The following is an 18,038-nucleotide window of genomic DNA, read 5'->3' as shown; positions in this document are numbered from 1 at the left end:
GGAGGGTCTGTTGCCCCCACTGCTTGCCAAGCCGATCAGTCCCCAGTTCTGGCTAGCACCAAGCCGAGATCTCAAGCAATTCAGACAAGCCAGTCTATATCTTCTAGGAAAGGACACTCGAATCTATACTTAGCCTTCCCCCTCCAATCCCCAAATTCTGGCATTCCTTAAATTCCTTGAGATCAACAATTTTGTCTTGTTCTTCTTTCTATACCCAGCACCTAGTACTGAGTTCAATTCATATTAGGTGCTTATGGTGACCATTAGTGCTGTTTGCCAAATATTCTGATTATCCCCTTCTTGGGCACACAGTAGGATGTACTTCCTGGCCCTCTATGGTTGAGTGGGGCCATGTGACCATTTTGGCCAGTGAGTTGTGAGTGGAAGTGATATATGTTACTTAAGGGTAGCATTTAAATGCCCATACAAAACTCTCTAGAGCAAGGATTGGCAAACACTGCAAAGGGCCAGAAAATAAATATTTCAAGCTTTGCATGCCATATAATCTCTGTTGCAAAGGACCAGAAAATAAATATTTTGAGCTTTGCGTGCCACACAATCTCTGTTGCAACTATTTAAACGCTGCTGTTGTAGCATGAAAGCAGCCAGAGAATATGTAAATGAATGGGAATGACTGTGTTCTGATAAAACTTTATTTATAAAGTCCTGTAAACTTTGGTCTTTCATCTGCGTCTCTTGGACTCCATTATTGTCATTCAGCCTACGCCCATGGAAGCAGGTTCTACAGAGAACCTGGCAAAAATAGGAAATGGAGATCTACAAAAGAGAATGAGGGGTGGACCCAGGTGAGCAGCTTCCTGAGAGCAAAGTTGCTGTCCTATAGCTCACACTCAACACTCCTGAAGAGAGGGAGAAGAGGGCCTGCTTCGAAATTAAAAGTTATAAGATGAGCTCTGCAAAACTTGCCCAAGAACGAGCTAATGAAAGCTTTGAGAGCACCAGTCTGACTCTAACCCTTGCTTCCTACCTACTTCTCTTCTTATTCTTCATTGCTAAGTTTGGTTAATGAGCAGAGGGTGTGATTTTAAATTATGGGGATCCTGGGGTGGAAGAGCGTTTAGTGTAATCCAGCAGCCCCAGAAAAACCCTTCCCTTCCCTGTCAGGGCACAGTGGAATGGCAGAATAAGGGCTCTCTTCCTCCACCCCCACACAAGCACCCTGCACTGCCAAAAACACTCGAGCTCATAGCCTACTTCTGAAATTGTCTTCCCTGTCACCCTTCCAGAGTCAAAGTCAAGATCTTTGTCCATGAAGAAATATTATGTCCTTTGCACCATCTTTCCCTTTATACCCTATCAAGAGTTTTACTTCTTAATTCATCTATTTTTTACTGCTTTAGAAATAATGGTCCATGCACCCCTTTGGCTTATCTGTGCCTCTCAGACCCTTAAAGATGAGTCTGTCACATTGAGGACATTCATCTTCCTTTCCTTGGGTGCATGCCCATCCTATTCCCACCCCTCCACCACTCTCTTTCTGATTCCTCCAGAACATGTGCATCCTCCAACTTACCTTGTGAGAAGTGGATACACCAGCAAGTCAATGAAACTCATGCTTTTCTAAGTCTACTATCTTTATTCCCTGAAAGTTCTGAGTTCAGCAAAGAAATCTCCACTGCATAGACCACCAAGCACATTGGCTAAGAGATAGTGGACAGAAATGGAACTGATGAACACTACGAGGTGAGTGGTAGGCATACAAGTGTCCCCAAGCTGGCCCTGAGCTATCTTGGCTCTGTACCCTCTGTCTGCCATAGGCTGGATGAGGGTAAAGATGTCCTAATTCCCACCTGTTAGAAATTAAAAGTTATAAGATGGAAACAAATTTTGAGATATGATACTCTACAACTTATATATCGTGTTGAGTTAATTCTAAAAATGATTCTCTTGAGAGAGAACTGATACAGTAAAATGGGTTTCCTGCCCAGCAATAGGAATGGCAGGGAATGACCTACTCAGCATACTCACCCGCCTACTCTGAGAGGAAACATTCCCTGTGCAGAAATAAATATTCATCTAGGGATTTTTCTTAGCTGAGCCAGCCTGCTACCTGACTGAAAAAGGAGGAGTAAAAGCTGGGCATGATTTTCATTTACCATGACTTCCTAAGACCGCACTTCTCAATCTCTAATGTACATCAGAACCATCTACATTGCTGGTTAAAAATGCAGATTCCTGGATGTCTCTTCAGAGATTCTCATGCAGTAGATCTTGGGTGGGTTCAGGAACCTACATTGTTAATAGACACCCTTTCCCCCTAGGAACCATGTCTTCAAACACTGTCCTAAAAGCAGTGTGTCAGCCTGAGAGGTTGTGCTAAGTTGGTAAGAGGTATTGTCCTGGATGAGTCAGGTTGCTAAAAGCCACTAGAACAGTGTCCTTCTCAATCATTTCCAGTCTATATCATGAAAAGAACATAGCAAAACACACCCAGGAAGTGTTCCCTGACCCACCCCCACTCCCTGCAAAGCTCTATTCTCCCCTGGACTGGCATCAGTTTTTGCCTACCCCACATTCCTCTCCATGTGCCTATGTTGTTATGGTGACTGTTCAAGGATGGGCTAATGTCCAACAGCAATTTAACAGGCTGGTGCATTCTGAATGTAAACCAAGACTCAAGGAAAACACAGCTTCAAATATGGAGTGTGCACTAAGTCAGTCTGAGTCTCTGCGGAGGAGTTGAAAGAGTCCGTATTCTGGTATCAGAAGCTCTGGGTTCAGGCTACATTTCTGCCACTTGCTAGTCAAGCAACCTTTAGCTTGACTTCTCTAGGTCAGTTTTCTCACATAAACAATGAGGATAATAATATAACCTGCCCTACAGAAGCCTGTGATAAGAATCAACATAGTATCTGGGGAGGAACTTGGAACTGTAAGTTAGGTAAATATGGGGCAAAAAAATAGAAGTTAGGAGCCTACGCTCTGAAGCTGGGTATGAATCCCAACTCCACGCTCACCAACTGAATCCCTCGGCAAATTACATAGCCTTGCATATCTTAATCTGTAAAATGATCATACATCATTTTACAGATTAAGTAGATACATGTAAAGTAGATACATCCACTTTGGGAGGCTGAGGCGGGTGGATCAAAAAGTCAGGAGTTTGAGACCAGCCTGGCCAAGATGGTGAAACTCTGTCTCTACTAAAAAGACAAAAAAATTAACCGGGCATGCTGGCAGGTGCCTGTAATCCCGGCTACTCAGGAGGCTGAGGCAGAGAATTTCTTGAACCCAGGAGGTAGAAGTTATAGCAAGCCGAGATCGCGCCACTTCACTCCAGCCTGGGAGACAGAACGAGACTCCATCTCAAAAAAAGAAAAAAAAGAAAGGTAGATACATCATAAAGTTGTGAGAATTAAATACAGAAGCTCATAGAACAGCACCTGGCCATAAAAAATGCCCAATAAATATTAGCTACCATTTTTATTATGTAAAATAACTTATGTTTGTATTAAACAACCTCAAAATATCTATAGCTTAATAAAATAAAAACTTATTTCTCTCCAATATCACTGTCTAATGATGCAAGTTGGCCTGGAAGATGGGAAAGAGAGACTCTGCTCTACATAGTCATTCAGGGAACCAGGTTCCTTTCATTCAGTGGCTCTGCCATCCCCTGGGGAAGGGTTAAGCAAATTTTTTTCTTAAAGGGTTAGATAGTAAATATTTTAGCCATTGCAGGCCATAAGATCTTAGTTGCAACTACACAACTCTGCCTTTTCAGTGTGAAAGCAGCATAGACAATATATAAACAAATGGATACGGCTGTATTTCAATAAAATTTTTTATTTACAAAAACAGGCACCTGGTCCTGCTAACACCCAAGCCCTGGGCCTCAGAGTCTTCCTAAACTCTTTTTCTCTCCAGCTGGGAGACAAAGAAAAAGACTAAGCACTTGAAAGATTTTGCATGAGGCTTACAGGCAAGGCCTAGAAGTGGTGTATATCAACTCTCCACATTCCATTAGCCAGAATTCAGTCACCTGGCCCTGCTTAACCACTGGAGAGCAGAAATGTAGTAATTGTAAGCATTCAGTAAGTGCTTATAAAAGGAAGGAGTGAGGGGAGGAGAGAGGGAGAAAGGTAAACAGGTACGGAGGAAAGAAGATATTTTGCAGTTTCCCATACTTTTCTAAGGAACTTAAGGGAGGTAGAAAACTAAGGACAGAAAACTACTCCTTGGACAGTCTCTGGAAGGAAAAGTCACTAGGAGTCAGTAATAGTTAACTGGAAAGAAAACAAAATGCTACAACCCCTTGGACTTGGAGAAACAAATTGAAATGCCAGTTATCTAGACTGGGATAGAGAAGGGCTAGGGGCTAACTTCCAGAAGCCTCTATATAGTCCCTGAAGGGTGTTTGTCCAAACCACTGCAGCATCAGGCTCAGACAATGGCATCTGCAATGCTGCAAAATCTTCTCCAATAGCCTCTTTTCTATCAAAACATTTCTCAAGTATCAATCCCAGTAGCACTGGGGATCTCCAATTAGAGCCTCGTAATATCCCTCCCACCCACTCAGACCAAGATTACCTGAAGTGATTTTCTTGGAGGTGATTGTCTTTTAAAGGGAGTACGTTGGTACTGCAGTAAAGTTATGGACAGCACTGTTTGTGCTGGCAGATTAAATCTCCTCTCTGAGTAGGGTCATAACAGCAGCACAGGCTTTCAAAGGTACTAGCCCAGGGGCAACCCCTCATGCTGCAGCTCTAAGTAGGGAACACGGTTTGGACTGGGAGAGCCAGTCTGAGTTGCCACCTAGGGAAACAAGAACAAAGCCCAAAGCTGGACATATGGGGCCTACAATGTGGTCTTCATGGAGGACACCTCACAGCCCTCGAGTGCCTCACATGTTGGCCAGTTGTGAACCTCTGTGCTGGTGGCCTGAGCTCTTCCCCATCTGGCTGCCAGGCCTGGCCCCTTCTGGTCAGATTCCATCTGACCTATCTCAGAACCCAGCCTTTTTGCACACCTCAGCTGTGATCAAACACGTGGGAAGTTCAAAGAAGCTTGACAATGAGTGGGAAGATCTTGGGTTAGGATCTGGATACTCAGGAGCTGATGGAAATGGAAGAAGGGCATACCTGTGCCTCCAAAGCGTGTCTGATCTCTGAAAGCTTTTAGGATCTTTTCTTCATTCCACTCTCTTCTCTGTGCCCTCTGACTTCTGTTTTATGCTTTTTCTTTCTGGTCATTTACTACATATTTTACGACATGATTACCAACAATTATGTTATAATTAACCTGCTTTTTAAGCCAAAGAATTCATTGAGAACAAAATTCACATTTCTAGAGATAATGTGGCCTGAAGGATTTTTAGCTCAATAAATGCATACTGAGCACGATGTTGGCAATTCCAGGTGCACAACTCAGACAGGTGTTCCCTGACGTTCTGCAATAAGACACAAGGCACTTGTAAGATTAGACCAACAATTACAATCCAATTGAAAGTGCCCACATCTCTCCAATGATCTAAAAAGGAAAACTGTAGTAGGCATTATGTTTACCTCCTCAAGATCGTTCCATCCCCCAACCTTGTGCACCGTCCGTACAGTTTGGGGGATGGGCTCCAGCTCCATAGCAGGTTCTAATTAGACTAATCCAGTCAAGGTAACCACATCCCTTTGCCAGTGATTAGTTAAGGAAAAGGCATGTGACTCATTTAAAGCCAATGAAGTATAAGGTAACATTTACTAGGGTTTTGGAGGGAAAATCTCCCAGCTTTTAAGGGAAGGCTAGAAAAAGAAGTGGCCCCTCTCTGCCTCTGGACAGTGTGCTGCACAGATGCAAACTGTGAAACCGCTGCCACCACATCACTGCCAGCTGAGGATAAGCCTGCCACATGGAGGAGAGCAGGGCCAAGAAAATCACAGGAAATGGAGAGGGAGCCCCAGATTCAATCAACCCGGAAGCCACCCCACCTTAGACCACCAGCAATATGAGCCAATACAGCTCCTACTGGCCAAAGCCCATTTGAGTCAGGTTTTCTGTTACTTACACCCCAAAGCACATTAGTTGAGGGAGTTCCCATATTCACCTGCAAAATTATAAGATTTTAAATACTCCACATTCTACAAAGCCATTTAATTGTTCTGATCACAGCAGGAGGGAGTCTTCTTATCCCTCTCTATGTTTTTTGGTTGTAGTTCATCCTCTATAAATGGACACTGAGACTTCACTTTTGCATAAAATTCTTGGTCAGTATTCTAACAATCCTCAGAATAATGGAAAAATGACCCAATCTAAACTGAATAAAGTTAAGTTCAATTGGGCAAGCAGTAAGTTTGAGGTGGGGAAGTGAACAGTGCAATTGGGTTATATGTAAAAGGCCTTTCTGCAATTCAGTAGGGTAGAATGAGGATGAGGGGTCATACTAGACACCACCTCCACCACCATCATCAATAAAAATAATGGTTAATATTTATTGGGTTCTTAATTTTATACTAGATACTATAAGGGGCTTTTATGCAACAAATCCTTTACATTTTTACTTAATTCTCGAAAAAAATCTTATGAAATAACTATTACTGTGAACTCAATTTTACAAATGAGGAAACTGAGACTTAAAAGGATTAAATAATTTTCCCGAGGTTAGGATCACACAGTCATTAAACGGAAGAGCCTCTTATCCAGATCTGACTGACTCCAAATGCCATGCCACCATCTACTGCACCATGCTGGCTCTAATAATGGTATTAGTTCCATTTCTTGAACTCAAGACCTGAAATTCATGTTTATTAACCAACCTATTGGGTAAGTACTTTTATCTTTCCCATTAAGTAAATAAGAAAACAGGGCACAGAAAGTTACCCAAGGTCACATAGCTAGTAACACTGTACCTAGAATTCAAAATCTGATTCCTTACCTAATGTCTCTCTGGAAGTTGAAGTAAGGATAGTATAGGTTGTACTTTGAAAGTAGATGGGCCCTCAAATAGTCCTGTCCCTTGGGTATAAGACTGTGTGTTTCAGTGATGGCATGTACATATGTACATGTGTGTGCAGGGGGGTAATAAGTTCATACATGTTTGTGCCAGGTTCCACCTGACCCCTCCCCCAGGCCTGGCTCCTTGTCTTTATGCAGGTCCATGTAGAGGAAGCAGAGCTGTTGTCAGCAGCACTTTCTAACTAAGGACAGTACTGCATGGGGACGGAGTACGCTCTGGCTTGGCACAGCAGTCCTGGGCCTCTCCAAGCAGCATCATCACAGAGCAAGCTCTCAGACTGCCCCAAGAGGTAATGGAAAGAAGAGGTGGATCATCCTTTGTGATCTTGTGATTGCCTGATGGGAATGAAGTGATGGCTCTGCTCTGGGAGGAAACTAGGAGGAATGGGAAAAATGAGTCTTGGGACCCTTCCCACCTCTTTCCCTGGCCCCTGGGCTCTCTCTCACCACTTATACCTCTGTCCCCCAGCTGCCAGGGTCTTCACACCACCCTCTAACTGTTGCCAAATTCCTGTCTTCACCATAATATTCTACAAAATCCCCCATGATTATGGCAACACTACTCTTCAATCCAAAAAGGAAGATAACTGGTCTGAAAAGAATATTTTTTCTGATTCGCAAATTTATATATAAGAAATATCTCATCTGGTTATAAAAATTAGTATACCTTTAGTTGTGTTAGCAGATCACCTTCTTTGAAAATATGTAATGATACAAAACGGGAGTGAGAGAATGTCTGGGCCATCAATCATCACACACAAGCTCCAAAGTGGCCATCCTACATTTCTTCTACTTCTTCTCAGACCAAACACAAGTGCCCCAGGGCCAGGCTCTTCATTGGAGATGAAAATCGCTGACATAAATAGGCGGTATTTAAGGTGTCGGTATTCTAGGGAGCTGGGCCACTTAACAGCCAGGCAGTAATTCCAAGAGGAGTCAAGAAGAGGGGCCTCTGCTAGCAGGCATAAGAAAGATCCAATGCTTCAAAGTGCAGGGCTGCCACTTCCTCCTGCCACACATCTTTCAAGCATTTTAGCCTGATGTTTCCTACATAAAAATCCGTGCAGTTTTCACTGAAACTAGTTGAATCACAGACAATACAGAAGCTCTGTGACAAGAAGCCCTCCTTTATCATAGGAATTATAAATATAAACTTCCTTTTTTTGAGCCAAGCACCATACTGGAGGTTTTACAAGCCTTACTAGCCAATCTCCTCAACAATCTTCAAGCTTTTTTTAAAGTGAACTGAGTCATTCACTCATTCATTCAACCATTTACTTATTCAATACATTGACAATAAGCACCTATTACTTGCCCAACATTGTGCCAGCCACCAGAGCTTAAAACAGAAAAATAAACAGATTCTAACATGAACCTTGATTTGTGCTCAAGTGGAAAAAACAAATAAGGTTCTCTGGGAGGCTATAGAGGGTCTTGGGGAGTTGGGGAGGCTGCCTGGAGGACAGGGTGTTTAAGCTAAGAACTGTGCATCATGTCAGGGTCAGCAAGGCAGGAAGGATGGGAGTTAGGGTGGACTGCAACTGAAACAGTGTGGTCAGAGTAGGCCTCACCAAGAAGGTGACATTTCAGCATATTCGAAATAAGTGAGGAAGTGGCAATTCTGATATAGGGAAGACAGAAAAAGCTGCACAAAGGCCTAATGAGGGAGCATGCCTAGAATGTTCCTTGCTAGGAGCAGCAAGGAGGCCAGTGTGGCTAGAACAGGAGTAGCAGCAGATGATATCGGCGATGTAATGTTGGGGGGCAGATCACAGAGGGCCTTTGCCTTTTGCTCTGAGGTAAGTGGGAAGCCTTTGGAGGGTTTTAAGCAGGCATGACACTCCTGTGTAGCTGCTGGTGAGGACAGACCGTGGGAGAGCAGGGGAAGAGGCAGGGAGACCAGTTGGAAGCCATTGCAGCCATAATACAGCAAAGCGTGACCCTCTCAAACCCTGGACAGAGACAGCTTTGCAAAGTGCCTGATCAATAGGAGCTCAATGTACCCCAAGGGAAAACACAGGCCATCAGGACTGGGGAGAGGCAGAGAGAGAGAGCCCGTGATGGCCACTCCCTATCCCTAAAGCTCCTGTGTCTCCTGAGTGGTGCAGGAGGCTCTCTGAAGATTTCCTGTCTTCAGCACACGACCTTGAGCCAAAGAGGGGCACGGGGACCTTGCCAATGGTCCTAAAGGGGTCTCGAGGCTTGGGCAAGGAGGAGACAGGGTTCATGTATCAGGAGACAAGAGGCTTGGTAGGGCATGGGGATGCTTCAGCAGCTGATGTGGTGGGGGAGAGGTGTCAATGCCCACAGACAAGGAGGGCCCTCTTCCCTGCAGCCACGGCCAGTCTGCAGCCTCCCCAGAGGGTCTGCAGCCCAGATGCCCCACCCCAACGTCAGGCCACATAAACTTCAGGAAAGGAGGGGTAGCAGGCAGCTGACTGTATATACATCAAAGGAATGATATATATAATCAAAAGAATGATAAATCATCAGTTAACTAGAAAACCTCTGGCTAGAAATAAGGTAAAACATAAATTTAAAAAGATCAAGTTGTTTTCCACTAAAGTGGCTGGAAACTCAGAAATCTAGCAAGATCCTGGAAATAATGAATGCTAGATTTTTATAACCTGAGTTTTGTGAAGCAAATTCAAATCTGCTTCACGATGTACCCCTGGTGGGGGGGAACACTGAGATATAGCATAGAACTACAGTAGATCAGATTCCCTATTATTTATCTGGGTCACCTGTACTATTCATCCTTCAAAACATTTAAGGCTAAAATTTAGCAATGAAGGTCTTAAATGTTCAAGGTTACCACTTAGGGCCTCACCTGTAATTTTTACAGTTTAAATGTCCATTACTATGGCATGGGTTTTGTTAGCTTCATCCCAGGCAATGATATCCATGAAATTGTGATTTGTTGTACTAATTGTATTTTTACTATTTTAACAGTAAATTCCTTACCAAAGAAAATCATCAAGCATACCACCCTGTGGGAAACATCTAACAAGTCACACTTTGGGAAACACTGTCCTCACTGGCACGTAGTATCTACATAATATTAAACAGTCATCTCAGGTGTTAATGCTGAACATGAGGTGAGAACATTAAAGATCCCCCGAGCTATCTTCCCAGTCCTGCTGGAGTCAGCTCGATCACATTCCCTCCACAGTCATTCAGTCTTTGAACACCTCCGTTGACAGGGATTTCACTATTTCATTACCACCCTCTTTCCCCCACCACCCAAGCAACTATTCCAACTTTAGATAGCTCTATTAGGATGATCTTTCTTACTCTGAGCTGAAATCAATGTGTGTCAACACAGAAATCAGTGGTCTGTAAGTAAACACAATTCATTCACCTGTGGCCACCTGGGACAATCTAGAAAAAGAGGATGTAATCAGCAATAAAAACAATGAAGAGAGGCCAAAAATCAATGTATCTCCTGTCAGAATAGCTCTACGGAAATAACTCAGTGTTTTCTAAATTGACTTAGAAGACCACAAGATTTTTCATTTGCTTTTTTTTTTTCCTTCTACCTCTTTTCCTTTAAAAAAAAAAAAACTCTCTAAACTTTCTTCCCTGTGAAAAGCTAATTGTAACTTTCCTGCAAGCCATTACTCAGGTTATTTTGGGAAGAATCAACTCCTACAACTTCAGAGGAAGGACGGAAAGGTCACAATACTGGGAAGAATCAAAGGATTGAGGGGATGTGGTGGGGGGACTCACTGAAGGACCCAGGTTCATGTGAGGCAGAGGAGATTCTCCCTAATATTTATGTCCTCATAGTGTAGACAGAATTTCTGAAGTGACCTTCTACACAGCAGCATTGCCTGGAAGGGAGGAAGGGAGCTCTGTTTCCAGTTGGATCTCCATTGCCTTTTGCCTTTTGATTCAAGCTGAAAGGCTGATTTTTAGGGATGGGGCTACAGATTTCAAAGGGGTGTTGGTTTTCGCTTGATGAAGTCAAAGCCAGTGGAAACTATGACTATAGTAGGTCCAGCTGCACTGCTCAGACCTCGTTTCTGAAAGTGAGACAGGATGGAAAGTGGTCATAGTGAAAGGTGACCAGGTTGGGTGGGGGTGACAGAGCAATGCTGGTGCTTCATGGAAGCCAGTCCTCCTTTAGCTCATGGAGGGAGGGCACTCCGCACACCCTGCTCCAGCTGCCAGGAGGTGCCTCCAGAGTTCCTGCGCTTTGAATCAGCTTTTCTGGCCCTTCTTGCCCTTCTTCCAGCCCTGGCTTTGCAATTTACTGGCTTAATATCCTTGAGCAAGTCAGCCAACCTCTCTGGGCCTCAGTTTTCTCATCTGTAATATGGAGATAATTGTCCTTTCCTCCAATAGATTTATTATGAGGGTTAAATAAAATAAAGTGTGAGCATGCACTTCCTAAGCTACAAAGCTTATGGAAGAAATTGATGTGATCTTAATCTAATTTAAGGTTTTGGCACCAAAAATAGGTGCAAAGTTTTGTTTTTATTTTGTTTTGCCTTGTTTGTGTTTTTCTGGAAATGGTGATAAAGGGAGAGCTGGTCCTTGCACGTCAAGACTCTTCAGAGAAGGAAGGGAAATTAAACTGCCCCTCCTCTCAGCCAAGGCATCTGGGTAGAGCCTGTGGCTTTCATAGATGTTCAGATGGCAGCAGTTTCATTTTACAATTGACCTCAGAAGAGACAGAGGTTGAAGCAACAGCAGAGGGCTGAGCTTCAGAGTGGGGACAGGAGAAAGAGGCGGCTTCCCCAGGCAGACACTAGCTTAATAAGGTGACATTTGCACATTAGCAGCAGGCTGGCTAATTGATTTGTTCCTGTTACAGGAGCATCTGTCTCTGCAAAAAGGCGATGGCCACCAGCTCTGGCACAGTTGCTAGGAGAGTGTCCAGGATCTCTCAGGTCATTTTTTGCCCTAGCCAATAGGGTAAAAGCATTTTGAGAACCAGGAGAATGCCAATGAGAACTGACTGGAGTACAAGAAGGGTAAGGGCTACATGTGGAATCCCCAGGGCTGCGGAGCTCAGCAGGGAGAGGGAAGGACAAGACGGGATGAGGGGGAGGGACACCAGGTCCTGGAGCTGGATTCTAAGCATCGCTGATGTAGCCCATACAAAAGTTTTTCTCACTTTCCTCCTTTTTCCTGGAGTCTTCCTAGTGACGTGATGAGAGGCTGAAACACCCCACCCTGTCCAGGCGCAGTGGCTCATACCTGTAATCCCAGCACTTTGGGAGGCCGAGGCAGGCGGATCACTCGAGGCCAGTTCGAGACCAGCCTGGCCAACACGGTGAAACCCCGTCTCTACTAAAAATACAAAAATTAGCCTGGTGTGGTGACGCATGCCTGTAATCCCAGCTACTTGGAAGGCTGAGGCAGGAGAATCACTTGAACCCGGTAGGTGGAGGTTGCAGTGAGCTAAGATCGTGCCACTGCACTCCGGCCTGGAAATAAACAAAAAACTCACCGAGGCAGGGGCCTGGGTTTTGTAAGGGTTCAGGACAGAGTTCCCATCCACCATTATTGTGGTGAGACGTAGTAATAGAAGAGAATTCTATAATGTGAGGCCTGCTGGGAGCATGGGAGGCATCAGTGAGGACTGATGCTCTTGACCCTCCCAGAGACATTCTGAGAGCTCCTGTAGACCTCTGCCCTTTTTTACTGTGAAGGTCTGTTTGGTTGCCTCTAGAATTCCCTCATCTGGTGGCAGAAAACCCACCTATCTTCAGGGCTTGGAACTACCCTACAAAGCAGGTCTGCAGCTTGCAAGGGAGTCCCAGCTGTTCCATTGGCCAGGTTCGCTGCAGAGGTGTTCAAACCAGGCATCTTCTGCAGGCTGGACAGATGTGTTCTACTCTTAAAATAAAGTAGCTCCAGTCTTTACCCAAGTCCCAGAAGAAGAAGTAGTTAATGGAAATAATTTTCCCAATTTTAAGATTTCTCTCCTGTGATTTATTTTCCTTAAACTCTTGAGATCTGATACCTCTTGTCTCTATAAGAATGTAGTGGGTAATTTTATCTGTTTTAGCGTAAACTATTTATTCTGGGTTGAGGGAATCTCTGTTTCTATGTTATTCCACATTGTTCTACTCAGGACCAGGCTCCAGCAATTACCTTTCTCTTCTGCGTCATCAATTTTTCACTCGTTGGATTACTCCTATCAATGTGCAAACATACTGTTGTTTCTCTCATCTTAGAAAAACCACTTCCTTCATCAGCTATTTCCTGATTTCTTTGTTCTCCTTTGTGACAAACTCTTCAAAAGAGTCATTTCTATTCACTGTCTCAGTTCTCCTCCTCCCATCCCTTCTTACACCAACTTTGATCAAACTTTTCTCCCCACGCTTTTGTTAAGGTTATCAATGCCCTCCACATTGCTAAACCCAATGACCAATTGTTCTTGTCATGCTTGATGTGGTAGCCAGCTTCCAAGATGACCCCACCTCCTGGGATGTTCACCTTTGTGCGGTCCCCTCCCACACTGTACCAGGGTTGGTCTGTGTAACCAAGAACATTCAGAGGTGATGGCATGACACTACCACAGTTAGGTACAAAAGACTGTGGCTTCCGTCTGGGGTGCTCTCCTGCAGTCTGTCTCCCTCTTGGGCCACTTGCTGTGGGGGAAGCCAGATGCTATGTCATGAGGCCACTCAGATGGCCTACATGGCCAGGAAATAGGGTGCCAAGAACTGCAAGAGTGAGTTTGGAATGGGATTCTCCAGCCCCAGTTGACCCTAGAGATGACTGCGGCCACAGCTAACAACTTAATTTCAACCCGCAAGAGATCATGAGTCAGGACTAGCCACCTTAGCAACTCCTAGATTCCTAAGTCTTGGAAACTTTGTGAGATAATACATTTTTGTTGTTTTAAGCTGCTAAGTTTTTGAGTGATTTGTTACACAATGATAGATAGCAAATACACTTGACTCATCACATTATTTGACATAATTGATCACTCTTGCCCCCTTGAAACACTTTCTTCATCTGGCTTCCACGACATCACACTCTCCTGGTTTTCCTTCGACCTCATGGATCACTTCTCAACTTCCTTTGCTGGCTTTTCTTCTTCTGCCTCGATTCTTTAAGCTGGAGGCCCTCATGCCGCTCTTAACCCCAGCTGCTCTTCAAACGCACAAACCCAGGAGGAGGTTCTTGGTACCTGCTTGTTGAAAGTTCCAAATATTTTTTCCAAATACTTGAAATGTAATGGTTTTTAAAGTCTTGAGTCCAAATGAGTACTCACTGCCCCCATCAGAAAAGATGGTGACCTCATCCAGTCATGTGATTTGAATTACCATATATGTTGTCAACTCCAAAATTTATAACTCAGCTCAGACCTTTCTCCCAAATTTCTGACTCATATAACCAGGTGCCTCCATGACTTCTCTACTTGGATATATAACATACAACTCAAATTCAACATGCCCAAGTGTGAACTCCTAACTTTTCCCACCCAAGCCTGCTTCACAATCTCCTTCTGAATTGACGGCAGCTCTGTCCTTCTGGTTGCTCAAGCTGTCCTTGACTCCTATACTTCTCATTCCCCATATCCAATCATCAGTGAATGCTATTAAATCTACCTACAAGATATATAAAAAGATCGAGTCACTTCTCACCATCCACTGCTACCATCCTGGTACAAGCCACCATCATCTCTCATCTGGACACAGCAACAACCTTCTAACTGGTCTCCCTATTTCCACCCTTACCCCTCTACAGTCTATTCTGAACACAGTAACCAATGTGCAGCGTGAGCCTCTTAAATAGGCAGAGCACATCATTCCTCTCTGCATAGCATCCTGCAATGTACCCTCCCTTCACTTAGAGTAACAGCCACAGCTGACCTCCCAGTGGTCAGCAAGGCCCTGCACCATCTGGCTTCCTGTTACTTCCCAGACTCTACCTCCTTCTAGTCTCTCTTTCCTCTGCTCCAGCCACACTGGCCTCCATGTTGTTCTCGGAACATGCCAGGCTCACTCCCACAGCATTTGCACTGACTGTTTCTTCTGTCTGGAATGCTCTTCCCCTAAATATCATTCTGGCTAAGTCCGTCATCTTCTTCACATATTTGCTCAAATATCACCTTAACAATGATGGCCTGTCTTAGCCATCCTGTAGAATCCTGCACACTGCCCCACCCTCAGCACTCCCAATCCCCCTTATCCTATTTTCCCCTTTTCCCCCATAGCACTTATCATCTTTCAACGCATTAGAAGCTGTATTTGTTTATGATAGTGTATTGTCTATCTTTCCCTGCTAAAATCTAAACTAGAAAAGGGCCGGTATCTATGTCTGTTTTATTTGATGAGATACCCCAAACCCTTAAGGATTTTTGGCATGTAGTCAACACTAAAAATATTTTAGTGAATGAGTAAATTATCTGAAATTGTTACAAAAGCCTCACAAAATGTTCTGTATTATCCACATTTTACAGATGAAGAAACTGAGAAAAGGGAATTCACATTTATCAGTCTTACTATGTGCCAGACACTTTAAATATGCTATCTTATTTAAACCTCCCATTTTACAAGGCTCAGAGAAGTTAAGTGGTTTCCAAAAGTCACATAAGTGGTGAGAAGGCAAACTCTGATTTGAACCCAGGTCTGGCTGGAGATAAAGTAAACTCCCCCACCACTCTTCCCATTCTTGTATCAAGCACCTTCCACACACACCTGGACTGAGTCAGCAACCAACCGTCCCCTGAGAAGCCACCTTTGGCCAACTGAAGTCACCACATCACACTCTTGCAGGGTACCTTACAGGCCCTGTCTAGAGACTAGGAGCCAATCCCTACTTTTCTTCCTATCCCCAGGTTCAGGCACTCAGTCCCACTCAGTCCCACAGTGGCTGACAGTCACACAACATAACCCGAGCTGCTCTTCAAAAGCACAAACCCAGGAAAAGGTTCTTGGTACCTGCTTGTTGAAAGTTACAAACATTTTTTCCAAGTACTTGAAATGTAATGGTTTTTAAGGTCTTGAGTCCAGATGAGTACTCACTGCCCCCATCAGAAAAGATCACCAGTCCTTCTTGGCCAGGCACGGGGGCACACGCCGGTAATCCCAGCACTTTGGGAGGCTGAGGCAGGTAGATCACCTGAGCTCAGGAGTTCGAGACCAGCCTAGGCAACATTGCAAAACTCTGTCTCTACCAAAAATACAAAAAATTAGCTGGACCTGGTGGCATGTGCCTGTGGTCCCAGCTACTCAGGAAGTGAGGTGGGAGGATCGCTTGAGCCTGGAAGGCAGAGGTTGCAGTGAGCCAAGATCACGCTACTGCACTCCAGCCTGGGTGACAGAGGGAGACCCTGTTTCAGAAAAAAAAGAAAAGAAAAGATCACCTACCCCTCCAACAGTTCCATCCTCAAAGCCTTGAAGACGACATAAAAGACAACTAATGGTAATAATAACTAATGTCCTGTCAGCTTTTACAATAAGCTAGACATTCTTGAATCCTTTACATCTTGTTTAATCCTATGATAATGCTGTAAGGAAGGTATTATTATTAACCCCATCTTACAGATGAGGAAAACTGAGGCACAGGTTTATCAACTTTCCTAAAATCCCATAACTGGTAATTGGTAGAGCCAGGATTTGAACCCCGGCAGCCTTCCCCCACAGCATGCATTTAGCTGATAAACACATTTCAGCATGAAAGCATGTGGAACATGTAAACAACACCTGCAGCTGTTTATGCCTCCAGCACTCCACAAAGAAAATCCATTCACACTCATGGCAATGCCTGCATTGGCAAACTGACATTATAACTTCCAACACAGATATCTGCAATTAACTCCTTATCATTTCACAGATCTCATTCTTACCTCCCTGAAGAACCAGCCCTACATTTTCCACTAGATCAGTTATGTATTACTCATTGCTAAACATAACATTTCAAAATTGCCAATATCACACAATACCTCCATGCTAAGCTTCCTCAGCCTGCTTCCCATCTCAGCCTCTCTCTTGCCACTGTCTTTTTTTCCAGCTTCCTGTTAATTAGGGGCAGCCTCCCTTCTCTTCATGAGTCACAGTCTCACATTTGGTTCCAATGACTGTATTGCTCTGTCTTATTTCTAAAGCACCCTTTTGGGGTTCTGAGATCACTGATCACACATTTCTACCTGCTCAGCTTCTTCTCCTTTGTTTTATTGAACACTGACTACTTGATCTTTAGGACTGAATACATTTCCCTTCCACAGATGTTGGTCAGGCATCCGCTGTGTTCCTGCACACAGTGATGACATCTCTGGTGAATACAAAGACTTAATGACTCCCTGTCCTGGCCATGGAAGAGCCTGAAATATTTTTGGAGAGGTAAACTATCCTTCTTTGGCAAAACTATGATCTTACCAAGTAGTAAAAGCAACCTTAACCCTTTTAGGAGCTCTGAGAAGGAAAGCAAGATCCCTGAGTGCTGGAGGAAACCAGGAAGGCTTCCTGGAAGAGGTGAGGTTTGAACCATTCTTGAAGAATGATAGGAATTGAATGAAAGGAATCTTACATGCAAAGGCATGGAGGGTGAAATTAGTAAGTCTTGAGTTGAGCGTCAGGAAAAATATTCCAGTTAGAGAAACATGGAAGGTAAGATTGGATGAGAACCTAAAAGGCTTTAATGCCAGATTAAAAGACACTGGGATTGTATTCTGGAGGTACCAAACTCCCTATTCCTTACCCTTTCTGTGCTGATCTACCACAGACCTCTCTTAAGAATATTCTGTGCTTATCCTCCCAGGCTCAACAGGAGGCCAAGAGAGGCTCTTCCTCATTCACCAATCCCTGGCCCAAAAGAGGTCTGTCCTTCCACTAAACACACACACACACACACACACACACACACACACAGAGAGAGAGAGAGAGAGAGACAGAGAGAGAGAAAGACAGAGAGAGAGACAGAGACAGAGAGAAGATCTGGAGTGGCAGACCAGATTCCTGTGCTATGGTACTTTCTGACAGACAAATCCAACAGCCTTCTATTCCACCTACGAGCCAAACCCAGTCTGCATAAATAGTTCAGCCAGTGCCTGAAATTTACTGCACCACACTCCTGTCACATCTGTTTCCACCCTTCAGCATTCCCCAGAC

General features: G+C 44.1%; 1 protein-coding gene across 11 annotated transcripts in view, besides 1 other annotated feature; it reads right to left on the bottom strand.

The window, feature by feature from the left end:
• Nucleotides 1-18,038, bottom strand: part of CACNA1E (calcium voltage-gated channel subunit alpha1 E) — a 490,386-nt gene that overhangs the window by 398,341 nt on the left and 74,007 nt on the right. The window lies entirely within an intron of this gene.
• Nucleotides 11,122-11,231: an enhancer, noted in NCBI's record as "active region_2185". NCBI's record gives its function as "activates an Ori minimal core promoter by ATAC-STARR-seq in GM12878 lymphoblastoid cells {active_cell/tissue: GM12878}" and the evidence as "EXISTENCE:reporter gene assay evidence [ECO:0000049][PMID:35858748]".

Source organism: Homo sapiens, chromosome 1 (assembly GCF_000001405.40).
Source record: "Homo sapiens chromosome 1, GRCh38.p14 Primary Assembly".
In the NCBI taxonomy this organism is placed as follows: Eukaryota; Metazoa; Chordata; class Mammalia; order Primates; family Hominidae; genus Homo; species Homo sapiens.
This window is presented reverse-complemented; position numbering and strand designations above follow the sequence as displayed.